Genomic DNA, 19,812 nt, shown 5'->3' with positions numbered 1-19,812 from the left:
AATGTGTTTAACTTTCCCAAAGGCTCCTTTTGGTATCTGTGAAAGCTCTCAGACTTGGGGGCTATAGAGAGCCCATGAGAATAAACACATGCATAATGATCGACACTTTTTATGAAAGTGCAATCTTTTAAAATGATTTTGAATTGTTATCGGTCACATGCTTGCGTTAACCATCTAAGGTCTGAATTTCTGCAGAGCTGCCAATGCCGATAATGACAAGCTTATTGAAGCACTAGACCAAGCACACTTCTTTGACTCTTTTACGTGCATTCCTGAGGGTTCCTGACTTTTGTCAACATTGGATTCTATAAGGAAAGAATCAGCAGTGCCCACAGCCTAACAGACCATGGGAATTTGTTTCTGGAGGGAATGAAAAAGTCTAACTAGTTACAAAGCATCACAATTAGTTACAAAGGATTCTAATCCGTTAGGAATACAAAAACAACAATAAGATGACTACTGATGCATCTAGAGGTCTCCTACTCCCACCCTCCCGGAGTTTTTGTGCTGAGTGTGCTCGGGGTATCCATCTTCTCTGAATCAGATTTCCCACATGTCCCTGCCTCTGAAGAGCAGCTGATCTGTGTTACTCAGAATAACCGGGGTCTAGGGTTCATTCGTCATGTGATCTACCACATGGAGATCCAGAATCATTGACCTTCAAGATGCAAGGCTGCTGAATTTGTGGATAAAGATAGCACTAACCCCATGTTGCAAGTGCAGAAACTGAGAGTCAGTATAATGTTAAATTGACCCACGTGAAATTGCCGATATTTAACTATTTTTTACCTGTGAGCATGGCACTTTCACATCATTTATCATAATATTTCTTATTTATTCAAAGCCATAGTTGAAATACATTTTCTTTTTTTTGAGACAGGGTCTCACTCTGTTGTCCAGGCTGGAATGCAGTGGCATGATCTCAGCTTACTGCAACCTCCTCTCCTGGGCTCAAGTGATCCTCCCGCCTCAGCCTTTCAAGTAGCTAGAACCACAGGTGCGTGCCACCATGCCCAACCATTTTTTTTTTTTTTGTATGTTTTGTAGAGATAGGGTTTCACCATGTTGCCCAGGCTGGTCTTGAACTCCTGGACTCAAGTGATCTGCCTGGCTTGGCCTCCCAAAGTTCTGGGATTACAGGCGTGAGCCACTGTGCCTCGCCTGAAATGCAATTTTTAAAACATGCTTTTGGATTATGGGCTCTCAAGCTACCTATTTTGCTAATTGTGATTTTCTACTAGAAGGCTACTGGTTCCCATAGGACTAAGAAAATAAAAAGGGCTTCCACAGAGGTGGTGGAAGAAAATATTCTGCTGTTTCTAAATTAGACATAGAAGAGATTATCCTCTAAGGAAAGAAGAGGGTTTGGAAGGACTAATGTGCATTTGGTGATTCTATAGCTATCGATCAACATTGTGGAGCACAAGACTCTGATCTGGTGGAACCTGGAATCTCTGAAGATCACAAGAGGGTCATCCTTCCAAGTTATGTTCTCAGCCACTTTATGAAACCGTTGCAAATGCCACTTCCATCCACCATGACTCATTCAGAAAAAAATCTTTTTTTCAGAGTTCCCCAATTTCTCTGGTGTAGGTAGGAAGATTTGAGGGAGAGCAGTGAGGAAGTCTACCTCTTCTCCATCCCCTGCACCTTCACAAGACATCAACTCAGGATCCAGATGCTTAGAGGGAGTCTAAGGCTCTAAATATGTATTTGTGGAATTTGGCAATATTCAATTTTTCCCCTATATCCAACTGGATCATCAATCTTAAAAATTAGCAACGACGGGCCCAGATTTAGAAGGAAGTGTTCTTCAATCCCATTTTTATTGTTTGGACATGGCTTTATTGAGGTGCCTCTTTGGGTGTTATAATTTGGGTTTAAAGAACAGAGATTTCAGGGGGTCTCAGTGTTTAAAATACATAGACCTACAAAGGGAGGTCACTTAGATGCCTTGGCCATGACCAGCTTTTCCGACAGGTTTGGTCCAGGACTATGTCAAGATTCGGTCAGATTTTGAGTAGCCCTGCTCAATTAGTTATGGATGATAATTTGGATAGCTCAGAAATTTAAATACCATGCATAAATTTTTGGCTACTTGCCCAGGGTCTTCGACTTTAAATTATTATAATAGTATGTAGACGAAGCTATTTCCAGCGGTAGAAGGGCTGATACTTTTGTTAGGCACCAAAAACTTTCCTGGGAAAACAGGCGACAAGAGTTCAAATGGGATAATAGGGGACAAGAGTTTGGATTGGCTTTTGTTTATTCTGGAGAGTAATTCACTTTTACCAGAGCATTTCTTGGCAGCTGATTCTGTTAGGTGAGAAAGTGGACCAGCATGATGATATTGGATGTCCATAGAAGAAAAGAAAGGGTGAGGGTTGAAGGCATGAGGCGAAAAGGACTGCTGGAAAGGATAAAAGAAAGGTGCAGGGATTCTGAAAATAAACTTGATGAAGTTGACTACCACATTTTGCTTACTGTAGCTGTTGTGTGATTGATGGAATTTAGCTTTGGGTAGTTTGGTAGTGAATAAATCTGGAAGAGAATTGGAGTGAATCCTCAGCAATATAGCTGGAGATGTACACTTCCAAGAGGCATCATACCTAAACCTTAATGAAGTCACAATTAAACAAGGGATGCAATCTCTACAAATTGGTAGGAGGGGCTTATGAAGGTTGATGGGACACCCCGGCTGGAGGATTTTTAGCCTTTTATTAAAGCTTCCATTTATGGATATGGAACTTCTTCAATTAAGTCATCCATCTTCTTCAGCACTGTGTTATCAAGGTCTCTGCTACACTTGCTTCACTAATGCTTCTTAAGGACATCACACTCTCAAGGAGGCAGAGCTACCTCAGGGCTTGGTAAACAACACCCCACCTCGAGGAAGCCTTCTCTGCTCATTACAGCTGGAAGTGATGCTGCTTCTCTGATCTGGGATAGGATTTCTACCATGCATTTGGTCTTCATCTATTATTTTCTTGTTTTGTAACATATGAGGACAAACCTCCTTGTTAGACTGTAATTCCTTGAACATGAGTATCATGCTATCATTTATCTCATTTTCTCTGGCATTCAGGGCATAGTAACTTGTAAATAGAAGGGATGCAATAAATGTTTAAGATAATGGATTAAACACAATTTCAAATAGAAAAAAAAATAGAAGAAATGTCAGTGCATTTATAGGTAGATTGGTCCAAGTAGTTGTAGGATGCTTAGAAGACTAGACATTTGTTTGGTATCTAAACTTCTTTCTAATTTTGTGCTATATATGGAGATGTAAAAGTGATTTTGGATGCCATCTTGTACTTTCTCTTCTTCTTCTTCTTCTTTTTTTTTGTTGCAAATAAGAAGAGGCATAAAGAGGTGAAGTGACTGGTTTAGTACCTTCTCGTCAGTAACAAAGGCGGGACTTGAACCCACATTTTCTGACTGCTGGTCTTAACATTCCTTCCATTGAACCATTCATTCATTAATTCATTCAGTTATTTATTATGAACCTTCCATATACCAGACACTGTGCTGATGCTTAAAATACAGCAGAAACAAGGTAGAAACCATGCCATGCTCTTATGGGGCATAGAAACTTATGGACCAAATAGACATCAAATGTGTTGAGGCTCATGAAGGGGGAAGTGCAGCGTTCCCAGGTTGCTGATGTGAAGGCCTAATCTAGGCAAGGAGGTTAGGGCAGCCCTCACTGAGGAAATGATGTTGAAACTAAGATGGAATAGGAAGACATCAGCCAGAGAAGAGGAAACATCTCAAATGAAGTCTTAGGAGCAAGAGAAACTCAAATGCTCAAAAGACTAAGCAGCTACAAACAATAACAGTAATAATAATAAAAATAAAAACAGTTAATATTCCAAGTGCTCACCATGTGGCTAGCCCTGTTCTAAATGCTTTATTGTTTTATCTCATTTCATGTCATTTAATTTTCATAAAAACTCTTAAAGAAGTAAGCATTATCATCACCTTGTAGATGAAGAAGGAAACAGAATAAGGCAGTCTAGAAGTAAAATATGACAGATATTTGTCATGTTTTGACACATGAAACACAAAGCAATGAATTTATATACAGAAATGTGTTATCTCCTGATCTCCTGCAAATGCCTGGTACTCTCAATGTGTTCTTCATTTTTCTTGGTTTATTTCAAGGAAGAATAAAGATCAATAATTCTCTTCCACCAGAAAAATGATGTAAGGATGATGATGCTGGTAACTGACAGCCTCAGGATCAGTGAGACAACTGGGAATGGTGGGGACTGGGGAGAGATGGAGAGCAGCCTCTTTTGGACTCCAGGTAATGATTTGGGAAATGCAGGTCCAGTGTTGGCAGATCTTTTGAATTTTCAAGAGACATTAAACCCTCAAGTTTTTATTTGCAATGTCCCAATTTTTAAATTTGACTCAAATTTAAAAAGTAGTATATAGAAAAAAATAAAATATGAATCTGGCCCACATGAGGTCGGTAGGGGACAGGCATATGAGTTGAGGCTGGAAAGGAGTCAAGGGTCAGAATGCAGAGAACCCTTGAGAGCATGAAATAGAATCCAATGACAGCAGGAAACTTTTAGTGCAGGTAAATCTGGGACACAAAAGGTCACATTTGTAATCATTTGAAACGATGACCTTGCTCTGCCGAGCTCTGGCAACTTCTAAGTGGCATACTTCCCTTAAAGACAGAACGTGTCTTTCTTAATTCCCCAGGTCTTCACTTTTACCTCCACAAATCTTAACTTCACTGTCTATCTCATGTCTGACCTCATGCTTCTACGTCCTTCTCTCTCCTTCTCTGGAAAGGCATCTCTTAGCTGCTTTCTCATCTTTTCCAGGGCACCGAGTCTACACCCGAATAAGGTGAACAAGCTTTTTGTGTACTGACAGCAAGCAGAAAGTTCAAGGTTGTACACGCTCTCCAGTGAACAGCTGTCTGATCTTAACCCTCAGCCCCAGACACAAGGCTTTTGGGTCAAACCAAATGATGGCCATCAGAAGAGGAACAGGTTTGGGGTGCAGAAGACGGAGGAGCAGCAGTCTCTCACCTGCTCCACAGGAGGTGCAGTGGGTAGGGCCACTTCCTTGGCATCTCTGGCAGGTGTGGTGGCATGGATGGCATTGGTTCTCAAATTCAAATTTCCATGAGGGGCAGTTCGAAACACAGCGGCCATCATCAAAAATCCTAGAGGAAAAGCAGACTTTTAGAATTCATCAGGGTGACTTTCCAGAGTGGCCCTAAGTATCAGAACATGTGGTATTCATGTTTGCTGGACAGATTTGACTTCATTGTTCCAGAAACAAGGGGGATGCCTGGGAGTGATCATCTTAGAACATGTGAAATATTAGTCACGTACCCATCCTTGGCCCAAGATTTGGACCTAACAGCCAGCATGCCAGAAACTGGCTGGGAAAACAATCCCGAATCTGCTTCCAAACAAGCTAACTGGTGCCTACAGGGACGAAATCCAGATTATAGGCCCCAACCAAACCCAGCCAACAGTCAGATGGAGGTCTGTAAACTTTCCACACACTTAGTGGGCCTCTGAGAGAGGCCTTGGAGAAAATATTCTTCCTTTATCTATCAGCATGCTCATGCTTTGCAAGGGAAATGTCAGCTCCAAGGGCTCTTGACGAGTGAAACAAAACACTGCTTTGTAGCTCGGATGCTACTTAGAAGCCTGGCCTGTGTATATTGCAAGTAATCAATGAACTCTGATTTTGAGTGTCATGTTTTGCAAACATTTCCTGAGATATGGAGTACTGCAGTCTCCTTTTCTGACCATGAACACCTACTGTGAACACCTACAAAGGGCATTACAGGTGAGTTGGTATATGGGCTTCTAAAACTTTGGTTTTACATATATACAATGTATATCCTAATGTCATTGTTAATATTTTTATAGTTTTGCTTCATTATTCTTTGCAAACTAATCGTAAGAGCAAATGTGACTAAGTAAATTGTATCCAAGTATTCTGTTCAGAAAAATACAAAATGTTTATCAAGTGCAAGAGTCAGATAGGTAATATGAATCGATGAAGTGAGCTGGGGGCTGCACACCCAGAGTTCCTAATTTAGTGGGACTTAAGGGGAGGCAGCTGAGAATTTTCATTTCTGGCATTCCAGATGATGCCAGTGCTGCTGGTCTGGTGAGCACTCTTTGAGATCCGCTGCTCAGTGACAGTCTGGATTACTGTGGAATTCGCTAAATGATTCCTATGTAATACAGGTGACATCAAATTGGCATCTCTTACAGCTCCCTTAGAATAAGTTATTGTATCAATTGTGAGGTTCACTGAGCACATAGCATACGCAAGCTCCCGTGGGCATAATGCTGCCATCCAGGCCTGGGACATCTGAGTGGGCCTGCGAAGAAAGGGAAGGATGTCTTTTTCTCTCTACTACTCCTCTCCACTTATGCTGGACACCACACGAAAGATCAGATGTAGGCCTCAAGCACCTTGTTCCTGTATTGGCACTGGCTTGTTTAAACTTCACTGTTTCCAGAGCTAGAACCAACCCTGAACTGGGGGGTGGGCCATTTCAATCCCAGGTTTGGAAGAAGGTTGGGTGGGACAAGGCATCCTGAATAGTATGTCACTTGCAGTCTTCCATCTCATTCATTCCCATACCCTGAAAGTCTGTGTCATTTGCATCTGTTTGGAGGCAGAATGGGATTCAAGCCGACAACCTAAGAGAGAAGTCCACCTCTCTCTTGGATTCCTAGGCCCTCATGTTCTGTTAACCATCCGCAGCACCATTGAATGAACAATCCTTTTGGTCCACTGCAGAGTATGAGTCCCAGTCCTAAACAGACACTCACACACATCTGGCTGTCCATGTCAAAACAGATCCCCTGCACCATGGCATAGAATGAGATGCCTGTGCTCCCAGCCCAGATTTTTAGCGGATGGCACTAATGCCAAAGGGGAATATCCCAGCCCCACCCTGGCACCAGTTACTGAGCTAGAAGACTTTTCAAGGAATAGTCTGGATGTGGCTAGTTTAAAATGAACAAACAAACAAACAAAAAAACCCAAAATCTTTCTATAAGAAAAACTGTGGAAGAGCTTTCTGAGGATTTTAAGCAAGGAAGCTATTCAATGTTCTGCTGAAAAAGAGAATGGGGCGAGTTTATTCTGGGGATTTATTTTCTTGCTAAAATCAATTGAGAAAGGGATGTGAAGTACATCATCATTTTATCTTTTATAGCAGTGGTCCCCGGCCTTTTTGGCACTAGGCACTGTCATTTGATTTGGCTGTGTCCCCACCCAAAATCTCATCTTGAATTATAGTTCTCATGATCCGAGTCGTGGGAGGGACCAAGTGGGATGTAACTGAATCATGGGGGCGGTTATCCTCATGCTGTTCTCGTGATAGTGAGTGAGTTCTCACAAGAGCTCATGGTTTTATAAAGGGATTTTCCCCCTTTGCTCAGCACTTCTCCTTCCTGCCACCCTGTGAAGAAGGAGCCTTTCCTCCCCTTTGCCTTCTGCCATGATTGTAAGATTCCTGAGACCTTCCCAGTCATGCAGAACTATGAGTCAACTAAACCTCTTTTCTTTATAAATTACCCAGTCTCGAGTATTTCTTCATAGCAGCATGAGAACAATCTAGTACAGACCAGTTTCATGGAAGGCAATTTTTCTACAAATGGGGGGCAGAGGATGGTTTTGGGATGATTCAAGTGCATTACATTTATTGTGCACTTCATTTCTATTATTATTACATTGTGATATATAATGAAATAATTATGCAACTAACCGTAATGCAGAATCAGTGGGAGCCCTGAGCTTGTTTTCCTGCAACTAGATGGTCTCATCTGGGGATGACGGGAGGCAGTGAGAGATCATCAGGCATTAGATTCTCATAATGAGCACGCAACCTAGATTCCTCACATGGGCAGTGCACAATATGGTTCACATTCCTATGAGAATCTAATGCTGCTGCTGATGTGACAGGAGATGGAGCTCAGGCAGTAATATGAGCAACGGGGAGTGGCTATAAATACAGACGAGGCTTCACTTGCTCACTTGCTGCTCACCTGCTGCTGTGCAGCCCAGCTCCTAATAGGCCATGAACCAATATCAGTTCATGGCCTGGAGTTTGGGGACCCCTGTCCAAGATGAGATGACAGATTGGTTTGGGGGGGAAATCATTTGTCTTGGGAGAAGTAATCTCCCATTAATGGGAACCATTAAAAACCACTCAGAAATAGGAGAGGAAGCAGATATAGAACCCTTCCATGTTTATGTAGGAAAGGGGCTGTCTTTTTGACTTGATTTGAGGAACATATCAATCACATAATTATGCTTTAAACCATTCCCTCCATGTCCACCCTAACAAAAGCATAGGTGAGATCTCCAGTTTTTGTAAGAGGATGATTATTTCTAAAGATAGAAAGATAGGGAAGACAGTTATGCTTAAGTGAAGGCACTGAGTTATGTCACCACGACCCACCCCACATTCTCCAACCTCCCCCCAAAATATTGCTAAGAAACTTGAAGAAAAATCCCATTTCAAATGGCCACAGTTTTCAACAGACACCAACAAATTTTCCCTAGTGGAAGAGAATAGATATTTTTCTCTATAAAAGTAGAAAATGGGTCTGATGAAAATGTTCCTTAAAGCCAACTCAAGGCATCTCTGGGACCACCAGTCATCCAATTCATGGATTCCTGAGATGCCCAGGCAAGCTCATCTCTGCAGGGGAAGAGCTTCTTTCCCCAACTCATGCCAGCTCTTGACCTTTTCATAGGAAGTGAACCATTCCAGACCAAACAGGGCTGAAAGAAAGGGAGAATGCAGTGGAACCAAGTGCTAAGCAGCTGGGCAGAGATGATCTTAACACTGGCGCTGAGTATTCCAGAAGGCCCCCAGATGTGTGTGTGACATGAACTGTAATGAAAGAGACAGCATGTCAGGGTTAGCTGGTCCTCTTTGCTGATTGTTGACTTGGCCTAATTAAAGCCATTAAAACAGCACTTAGTGTAATTTCTTGGTTCTTTAATATTCTAAAAGAATGAAATCTAGTAAAAAGATTTTTTTCTCTGAATTCATTGAAATAGATCAAATACAATGTTTGAGCATGGGTCAGAACAGAGGTAACTTTGAAATATTTTTAATTAGTTCACTGACTCTCTAACTCCTTCAGGACTGGGCAGGGAAATTAGGTTGGGCAATGAGGATCCTGGCATCACAGAGCTTTGCATGTTAAATACAGTGGCAAAGAGGTCACTTGCTTTCTCCAGGTTTTTAATTGTCTTTAAGGAGCTAAACCCAGTGGTTTATAAAATTGTAAAAGAAGGGTGGTAGCTGCCTTATTAAACAAATGTTAAAATATTCCCCTAGTTCAAAAGACGTCCAAACATGCATTGGCATTTGATTGTTGGTATGGTGGGGAATTGGAGAAAAAACAGAACCTCATTTTGAGAATGCTATCTGTATCTTAGAGTAAGTCCTGATGCTTCTTTAAAGCAAATTCAATATTTAGAGGCATAGTTATTTTAAAGAGACACTTGGAAAAATATGCTCATGGTTAGCATTAAAAATTCTTAAAACTGTTCCTTTGTGTCTTCTTCGGTCCTTTCTCCTTCCTTCTTTCCTCTTTTCCTTCTCTTATTCATTCTTTCCTTTCTTCCTTCCTCTTTCTGAGGGAGCTATTTGGAGAGCCAAACCTATGATATTGATTCCACACTTCATCAAGTTCAATAAAGCACATTTATTGAATTATGTGTTGATCACTGTGGGGAATAAAGGAAAAAACACACCACAGCACCCGCTTGCAAGAATATTATAGTCTTGCAGAAGTAGGACAAAATGACCATAATGCAAAGCAGAGGGCATGTCCATCCCAGAGATGCAAAGCGCCTGCCACTGGAGCAGCCTCATCACCCTTGCCTGCAAGAGACCTGCTTCCTTTGCGTTGGGCAGGGCAGTGATGAGGCCATTCACTGAAATACTCGGTAGCCAAAAAATATTCAGTGCTAGGCTCAGAGGAGCATTGACTGAAAATAAAACAGGCCTCCAGCTTTCTTTATTAGAAATTCCCAGTGTATTAGCAAAGATGCTCATTCCATTTGCATACTTGCTATTCCCTCATTAACTCAGTTAGCAAACATTACTGAGTGCCTGCTATTATCCCCGAACTGTGGTAGGTACTAGAGATCAAAGATGAGTATCTCAAGTGGCTTACAGTCTAATGAAGAGATAGCTTTGTAAATGAAAACCTTCAAAGGCTACAGCTGCTCTTATGGAAGCTTATAGAGAGCAAAGGGACATAAAAATGGTTAATTTTTGCTGGGAAGAGATTATTTTTACTGGGAAGAGGTCAGAAATGCCTTTAAAAACAGTTCACCCCTTGTAACCCCAGCACTTTGGGAGGCTGAGGCGGGCAGATCACCTGAGGGCAGGAGGTCAAGACCATTCAGAAATAGGAGAGGAAGCAGACATAGAACCCACCATGGCCAACATGGTGAAACCCCATCTCTACTAAATGACACAAAAGTTAGCCAGGCGTGGTGGTGGGCGCCTATAATCCCAGCTTCTAGGGAGGCTCAGGCAGGAGAATTGCTTGAACCCGGGAGGCGGAGGTTGCCGTGAGCAGAGATCGCGCCACTGCACTCCAACTTGGGTGACAGAGCAAGACTCTGTCTCAAAAAAAAAAAAAAGAACAGTTCACTTTTGAACTGACTCTAGAAATAAGTAGATACTTGACCAGCAGATGGAAATGATGATTGAGGGACGGGTATGCAGAAAAGGATGAGATTTCAGGCATCAAAGGCACCCTATTGATTGATGAGGAAATCTGTTCCATGTCCAGGGAACTGGTCCTTGTGGTGGGGACTGGGCGTCATGGGGAGAGGATACTACAGAGCTGGGCTGTGCCCAGACCAAGGAGAATATCTGTGGAGTGGGAAAGAGTTTGCTTCTTTTTCACTGCAGGCCCATGAGGTGCTGCTAAGATGGTGAGCACCTCCTCTCTCCACCCTGCAATCCATGAGCTCACACCACCGGGAGATCCTGAGAAGCCACTTACCTTGTCATGGGGCAGGTAGTGCAGTCTTCCTGGGTTGGTCCCTGGCACTTGGCACATGAGGCCTCACAGGTCTGGCAGTGGCCATGCTCATCAACATATTCTCCTGGGGAACAAAATCTAGTTGTTTATTTCATTTCTACATGGCAAGCCTGCCTGGGCTGTCAGTCTGAGAGCAGCCAGATCTCTGTGGCTGCCTGAAAGCAATGCAGACAACACAGAGAGGAGAGGCCCTGAATGGCTTCAGCTGCTAGTCCCAAATCCTGACCTTATCATAACAACTGCTCCTCTCCCGGGGGCTCCAGAAGTTGGAACCTCAAAAAGTTATGAGGCAATGACATATTTCTGAATCTAGTCAACATGTGTTACAGATTTTATAAGTAGGGAAGGCCAAGCGGGGCTTCCCACCAGACCCCTTTACTGAACTCCTGCTGACTTTTCCATTAAAAGCTGAGGTCTCCTGGTCCACAGAGGGCCGTATAGTCTTGGTTCAAGTCAAGCAATGAGCAGGAACCACCTAGATCTTTTCTTACCACCCCATGGGGTAGAGGTGTGGTAATCATGGTTACTGGTCAAGAATGGGTGCTGAGTCTTGGCTGACATTGGGTGATTGTAAGCTACATCTCACTCTGAAAGAGTAATAGTGAAGAAATAGCCAGGGAATTCTTCCTTTAATTGGAAATTTTATCTTTCCCAAGGAAAAACACATATGGGGCCCTGCAACAGAAGCAAATCCAGCCTCACAAGTTTCTTGGAAACATTTTAAGAAATTACTCCCACAGCAAAGGTGGCAGAGGGAGGCCAATCTCATGGAAAGTAAATCTCATAGACTCAAAGATGGGCCTCTACTCACTGAATCCAACCCTCATTGCACTCATCCTAACCTGCTATTGTCTTAAAAAAAATTGACAGGCTTCTTTGGTCAGATCCACAGAGCCACTTTTTCTGGTTTAGAGACTGGTCATGCCCAGAAAATATGGTTTCAGATTTTGGCAGAGACACAACCTCCACTGGACCTCAACCCCCTCCAACTCTGACAGCCCCCATAAGCCATGTCTGAACACTGTCAATCTGAGATCCAGCTGGTGGGGTGAGATAGCAGGACCCGCCCAGGGTTTAATCACGTTGTCTTACTGCAACTCCAAGATTCACTGCCTGATTTAGCATAGTTGCATTGAAAAGAACCCTGGAAACCTAGACTTGACTGGTGAGGAAATGAGGGAAATTCATCCCTCTTTCCCCCATCGCTTTACTGGACTGGTACAGCTAGCATGTAAGTAAATCTTATATATGTAAATTTTACACTTGCTAGCACTAAACCCCAAAGATGACTGTGAAGAGACAACTAGAGTTTGCCTTTATGTAGCAGAAAAAGCCTTTCATGTAGGGTTATTCTATTCATTTTGTTAACAGAAGGGAAAAGTGCATGTTCAGAGTGATGCAAACATCTAATCACAGCACACCCTGCACACCCCGGGCTCTGTTCCTCTATGTCTCCTCATTGTTACCAAGGTACAGTTTGGACTGGGAAACTTATATACAATTTTTAGAATGGGAATGGGACTGTGATTCTTACTTCAGGACTGACTAGGAAACTTCCCAGGAGACCTAGGCCCAAAAGAGTGCATAACCAGCAGGGGCAAAGGCATACCAACAGGTATGCAGGTTGTTCACTGCACAAGGTGCCTACCCACCCGAATGGTCCAGTGGAGGCTGACATCCAGCCCATTTGCTTCACCATGCCAGGCACTCTGGTGTAGGCTGCGCCTGCCTCTGTAGAGGGACACCTTTTATTAACTCATACAAAGGTGTTGACTGGACTGGTTACATTCTTGGTAACCAGTAGCCCTGAGACAGAAAAAAGCTGTGACCTCCATCTAGCAGGAGTGGTGATTTCAAGCTGAGACTGTGTCACTGACTACAGGCATCATCATAGTTATGCAGCCTTCTTTATATTTATTCAGGCTCCTTCACTTCACCTCTTATTTATGGCTTCCACTATTGTTGTAGGAGGCACAATCAATTGAGCAGGGTGATTATCAGTCCAGGTACCAGCAAAATTAAGAGCAGAGGACCCAAGGCAGACTCAGTGGGAAGAAGCAGACCTTGCCTACAGGGGCCAGTGCAAACGATTTGTTTTTACAGTTAGATGATATCTATGTATCTTTCAAAAAAATATGCTGAGTGGAACAAGAATGGAGAGGTTCATAGAAGCTGAAAACCTCACAAAAATCGTATTCTAGAGAAATGTGGACTCAGAGAGCACAGCTTATCCATTCATTCATTTTATGGATATATTTTTTAACACTACATACATGCCAGCTACTAAGGGAGATGTAGAGACATACAAATTAAAAAGACCCTACTCGTGGGTTCTCAAAGATTTTATGCGAGTGATTTATAGATAGTTATAACACAATTGCTAGCCAAGGGACTTCTACTTCCTCAGACAGGCCAGATTAAAAACCAGAACAGAAGAGCAAGGGTGTACACAGGACTCTGCTAGACCCAGAGGCAAAGACAATTACTTTGCCTTGACATCAGTGCCTGTAGGAATGGGCAGAACTCCTCATATTCATCTATCCTCATTTCCATGATGTGTCAGATCCAATGCTAGGATAGGATTTTAAACTAAAACACCTTGCTCTGCTAAATCAAATGCTACTTAGAAGGTTCTGAGAGTTATATCATGTCTGCGCTCAAAGTCTTTATCATACAGATGAGGCATCGTTAGGTTAGTCGAGGGTTATTAAGATATAACTGTGAAAATTTTAAATTTTCTTCTGTATCTCTTGTTTGCCTTCTCATTGGCTTTCATAAACCAGTAGGTGGCTTTAATACTCTGGCTTTGCATGTCTTCAATCTACTCAACTATAATGGCCTCTGTTGGCACTCACAATGTGCTGCCTTAGATATAATGACCCCAAAAGATTACCCCATCTCCAAGATTTTAAATACATCCTCCAGACACAGCTTCTTATGCCATACTATAAGTCTACATCATCCTAGGTGACTCCCTGTCACTGTGCGATTATCCCTTCATTCATCTCTTCCAATCTCTAGCTTGCATCCCCCACCTGGGGTAGGCCAAGCCATCCCAAAGCCCAAGTTCCACCCATTCTTCTGCAAAAGGAGACATCACCTCCTCATTTGCAATAAGATGTCTGAGTTCCCTTGGCTTTTTTTTTTCTCAATGTCAAAAGTCATCTCTGTCTTCTCTTTGGCTTTTTACTTATCTTCTGTCTCCAAAAGAAAGGTCTGCCACTCTTCCTGGCTATTGTCAATTCCCCATCTACTGTTATAATCTTCTTTCCTCAGAATATTTCTCCACCAGTTCCTCTGTGTTTAATCTCTTCCTCACATCTCCAATCCTTGTCTGATCTACAAAAGTTTTCTGCTAACTTAAACCTTCCCAAGCCCTTTCCCTCCCTGATAAGGGACTTGTAAAACTTGTTTTTTCCTCCTACTATTTGGAAACAAAATGGTGAAAACTTCATGACCTTGAAGCTTATGTAAGAGCGTCAGTGTAAGACAACTAAACTGTGCCTGTCTCTCAAGTCTGCATGCCTCTTCACGTTAGAACAGCTGATGAGAATAGAGAAGGCTTCTCCCATTCTCATATTTACGTAGATGTTTAATTAGTTACATAAGCAACTGCCCCCAGCTCTTACAGGCACAAGTTTTCACTGCATGTTTGGAACTGAAGAAACCAGATTCCAAGGACACAGAGAAGTTGCTCTTTTTTGTTGTTTTTGGAGCAGCAAATTCTTGTCATCTGTCTTCATTGCACAATGAAGCTGAATGTTTATGACAGGCATGATATACAAAATTCTTACAAAAAGTCAACTTTTAACAGAGCCTTCAGGAGCCAGTATTTTGTTTTCCACCTCATCCTACAAGCTCTTCTTTCTGGCATCTTCATCCATTGTTATGATTTCCAGATCATCTTTCTCCTGTGATCAAAAAATGTTCCATTCCCCCTTTAGTTTCTTTCTCATCCTATGCTATAATGGTTCAAAGACACTGAGGAAGTGTAGTCACTTGGAGAGGAATGCTACCTCAAAAGTTGAAGACACAGCTTAAAAATTAATACTTATAAATTTTAAAAAGTTACAAGTGGCTTACTGTGCTTATTCCATCTCTTGATAACACTGTAGAATACTATCAACAAGTCCAGATTCTAAGCAAACATTATAAAGTCTTCCAGAATAACTGAACATGTATCATAGCATCCAAAGTTACAACATAAGATTGAAGTATAATCCTTTTTTAGGTTTACATGGCCAGAAGAGCCTCATTTCTCCTGAACAAATGCTACGCTTTCTTTTATACCTCATATTTCCTTATTGGTTACAGCTAAATTTATTGTAGAATTCTAGCAAATAAATATGTACACTGAATAAATTAATCGATACATAAATATGATATTTTATGATGTGAGTTTAAAAACTTTTTAGCAAGATGATTGGTAAGAGAGGATGGGAGGAATTTGATGAGAATTCAGTTGCTTGGTTTTTGATCTAGTTATTTCAGTGAGTAACCTTGGGGTATGAAATTATCTGTAGACTTCCCTGTGAGGCCTATTTATGTGCCTCGTCACTCAGATGCCAGAAATCATAGAGTATGAGTGATTCTACTATCACAAGTGTTAATCAAATAATATTATCTCTTTGCAAGGATGCCAACATGTAGTTTCCAACTTAAGATACCATTCTGTGAAGATAATTTTTATTAAAAACATCTATATGTTTTTTTCGCCAGCTATAATAAATACTCAGCAACACTTTCAGCTACTTATGTACTAATGAAATCAGTTGTTTTTCAAAGCTTTGTTAAGCATAAAGTTTTATAGCAAGGCTCAAACTATGAGGCCATCAACTGAGACTGCAACATCTTTAAGTCAACACAATCATTCAGCCTTAAAAAGAAAGGAAATTCCGACAAACTCTACAACATGGATGAACCTTGAAGACACTATGCTAAATGAAATAAGCCAGTCACAAAAGCACGAATATTGTATTATTTTACTTATATGAGGTAACTGGAGTAGTAAAAGTGATAGAGACAAAGTAGAATTGTAGTTTCCAGGGCCTAAGGGTAGGGGGAAAGGGTTATTTAATGGGTACAGAGTTTCAGTGGAAGAAGATGATGAAGGTCTGGAGATGGATGGTGGTAATGGTTGCAGAGCAGTGTGAATGTATTTAATGCCACAGAACTACACACTAAAAATAGTTAAAATGGTAAATATATATTATGAATATTTTACAATATTTTTTTAAAAAAATATCTACACAAAGAGTTTGTGTCTTAGCAGGCCAATACTTCATTTTAGCCAAAAAACAAAATCAGTATTGCCTGTCTTTGGGGATGGGTCCAAAGGGTATCAACCAATCCACCATCTTGGGAAGCCAGTCTGTTGAAGTGAGGCTTGGGAGACCTCCTGTGATAATGGAAATAAATTGATATATGAATAAAACTTGGGATAAGGGAGACATCTGGCAGATGGAAAACTCTGTCTTCTTCCTTTCCTCAAGGATGCACTAAAGACAGAATGAACATTAGGCAGCTAGAAAGAGGGTTCTACATCCCTACCCTGGAGGTGTCTGGAGGAAATCTCTTCTCTATCCCATTCTCTCAAGGACAACTTGCCCTTGTCCTTCCTGCATATTCTGTTTTTGATTGACAAGACTTATCCTTCCTGGTCCCATTGCTTTTTCATTCTCAGGCAGGCACTGACATTGATCTGTGGGGTTTGTGCAGATGCTCTGAAATGCTACTCTGGCAACCTCATGGGTTGGCACTCCTGCAAAAAGGATGGATCGTAAATTGTGGATCCAACACACACACACAAATATTTAGTTTCCTTCAGCCTACACGTTGTTCAAAGGGCAGAATTAAGAGTTGATCTTTCTAGTTTCCACCGTCGTTTGGCCCTTGACCACAGTCAGGCAGTTAAAAAAGTACATCCAAAGTGAAGTCTTGGCTGACGCACCTGAATGTAGTAGTGATGTAGCAATCATACAAGCTCCTATTCATGGATGCCTACTGTATTACAAGTGCTGTTCTATGTAATATTTAATCCAGACAAAAACCTCTTTTATAAACAAGAAACTGAGGCTCAGGGAGATTAAAAAATCTTGCATAAGTTCATTCAACTAGGTAAGTGGCAGAGCTGGGCTGCGACCCAGGTGTGTCTGAGACTGAGCCCATGCTCTTTCTACGATATTTGCTGGTATGGATTCATTTCCCCCTTTAGTGTTCCAAGTAGCTTTGCTATTTATAAAAAGAAAGAACTGAGTACATGCCTCATCTCAACTACTTGATGAGGTAAGGGCATCAAAAAGGAATTTACTGTGAAACAAACAAACTTTGAGCAGGCATGTTTCACAAAGCAGATTTACTCAATGATTGATTATACCCTCCAAATTTATTTTCTCTGTTAAAATGGCCATCATTCTTTAAAAGGCAATTCCATGTATCAAGTAAACAGATTTTACAAGCAGTTTGTTTTGCCCGTTAGGCTGTAAGTTCCTAAGAGGAACTCAGAAATATTTTTTTGAATGAATTAACTTGGTTGAGGGTCTGGACAGGGATTTTCTATGTTGTTTAATTCTGTTCAAAACAAATAAACTGGCTCCTCAGAAACAGCTTACAACCACAATTATGGTAACAGTTCTCTGTGGTGGTGGGGAAGACTGGGGGGATTTTGGTCAAAGGATACAACATTTCAGTTAGACAGGAGGGATAAGTTCGAGAGATTTATGGTACAACATGGTGACTAGAGTTGATAACAATGTATCATGTACTTGAAAATCACTAAGAGTAGATTTTAAGTGTTCTCATCATGCACAAAAAATAAGTATGTGAGGTAATGCATATATTAACTTAATTTAGCCATTCCATAATGTATACATATTTCAAAACATTTTGCTGTACACCATAAATGCACACAATTTTTATGTGTCAATTTTTTTTTTTTAAGTTTCTAAACAGCTGGTTGTAAGACCAGACCCAAAGGGTGGGGTTTGGGGGTGGGATGGAGGTAAAAGACCTGAGTGTGATTTTTTTTTTTTTTTTTTTTTGAGACAGAGTCTTGCTCGGTCGCCCAGGCTGGAGTGCTGTGGCGCATTTTCAGCTCACTGCAACCTCTGCCTCCCATGTTCAAGCCATTCTCCTTCCTCAGCCTTCCGAGTAGCTGGGACTACAGGCGCCCACCACCACGCCCAGCTGATTTTTGTATTTTTAGTAGAGACAGGGTTTCACCATGTTGGCCAGGCTGGTCTTGAACTCCTGACCTCAGGTGATCCGCCCGCCTCAGCCTCCCAAAGTGCTGGTATTACAGGCATGAGCCACCATGCCCAGCCCTGAGAGTGATTATTGTCTGCAGTTAAACAAAATAAATTTACAAAGCTTCTCATTGAACCTGTGGATGAGGAAAATCATGAAAAACGTTGTTGGTGGATGGGAATCCATTTATTGCTCATGTTAGGTGTGAAATGCTTCTTGACAGTCTCTTTATTTAGTGGGCTGTCTTTTGCTATTCCTGTGAGCCTAGAATTTCTACAGGTTTGCTAGTGCACTCAGTCTCTCTATTCATCAGTTATGATTTTATCCCCAACTGTCTCCTCTATTTGTGGCTGCAGAGGGCCCACCCTAGTGGTGAGAACAGTACAGTGTCTGATGCATTCACGGTGAGGCGATATCTAAGTTTTAATACATGTTGACAGAAATAAGTGAGCATAATTTGACAGAATAACTTATTTATCTTTCAGAAAGCAGCGCCGACAACCTGATGCAAGTCACCCTTGGGAGACGCTTACTGAGAAAGTGAATGACTTGAAAGGGCTGAGGGCCGGGAGAAAGGGGGCCTCTCTCCACATGAGATGCAAGCCCGCAGCAGGAGAGGGGAAGCCGCTGCTGAGAGCGCTTCCCATGAGTGAGCACGACACTGCCAGGCCTTAAGGGATGTGCCATTTCCTTTCTCTTTGGAGTGATGAAGATGGCAGGTGAAATTTTCAGGAGCGTGGCCCACAGAGCCTTCCTGAGGTTCTGAACTACATAGAGGTGCTAGTGCACTGAGAGTTAAAGCCCCAAGTCCTCCCCACAGAGCTTAATACCACCCAAATGTTCCTTGTTACAGCTTTTAATTCCTGAAACACCGACACATGGATGAGACTTGTTATCATCCTCTTTCGTTTTTTTAGCAACCCAATGAACCTCCCTCATGGCTTTCATAACTTGCTTTTAAACCCCTTGAAAATACCGCTGCAGTGTGGCTTTCTCTGCTCCATTGCCCCATGGGAAGGAACATCCTCAAATTACCCTCTTTCTCTTTCTCTGCATCAACACATAGAAAGTGCTGGCTCATCATTCATCTCCCACACTCCTTTCCTATTTCTTTACGCCCTGACTTCAAGTGCTCAAACATTTTAGCCAAATCTCTAATTAAGAGAAAAGAGAAGCCCCTGGAGAGAGGAGGAGCTGCATACCAAGGCCTGGGGCTCTAGCTGCATGATAGCTGGTCGCAGCTTTGTAACGGACAGTTTAGTCTTTCACCGGTTCTCATTAACACTGTCTAAGAGATCCGCAGGTTTGCCCAGTGACAGGTCTGTATGGAATGCGGCACCCAGGATGCCTCTGTCCCTTGGTGACTGAAGAAGCATTTGATTCGTTGGGCTGCCCAATGATTTATTGGGAGTGACCAAATTGTGCTTTCAAAAAGACGAAGTGTGGAAATAAAGACAGGAATCAAGGTTTGCTCCGTGCCTACTGC

The 19,812-nt window shown here is 41.9% G+C and overlaps 1 protein-coding gene across 5 annotated transcripts in view; it reads right to left on the bottom strand.

Moving 5' to 3' along the window:
- Positions 1-19,812, bottom strand: part of PCSK5 (proprotein convertase subtilisin/kexin type 5) — a 473,167-nt gene that overhangs the window by 124,328 nt on the left and 329,027 nt on the right. For all 5 annotated transcript variants that reach the window (XM_047423454.1, NM_001372043.1, XM_011518769.4 and 2 more), the window contains 2 exons: positions 11,043-11,145; positions 5,052-5,188 (listed from right to left, as the gene is read on the bottom strand). In XM_047423454.1, the coding sequence (XP_047279410.1) occupies positions 5,052-5,188; positions 11,043-11,145 (240 nt within the window). The remainder of the gene's footprint in view (positions 1-5,051; positions 5,189-11,042; positions 11,146-19,812) is intronic.

The sequence above is a fragment of the Homo sapiens genome, chromosome 9, assembly GCF_000001405.40.
Source record: "Homo sapiens chromosome 9, GRCh38.p14 Primary Assembly".
Taxonomy (NCBI): Eukaryota; Metazoa; Chordata; class Mammalia; order Primates; family Hominidae; genus Homo; species Homo sapiens.
This window is presented reverse-complemented; position numbering and strand designations above follow the sequence as displayed.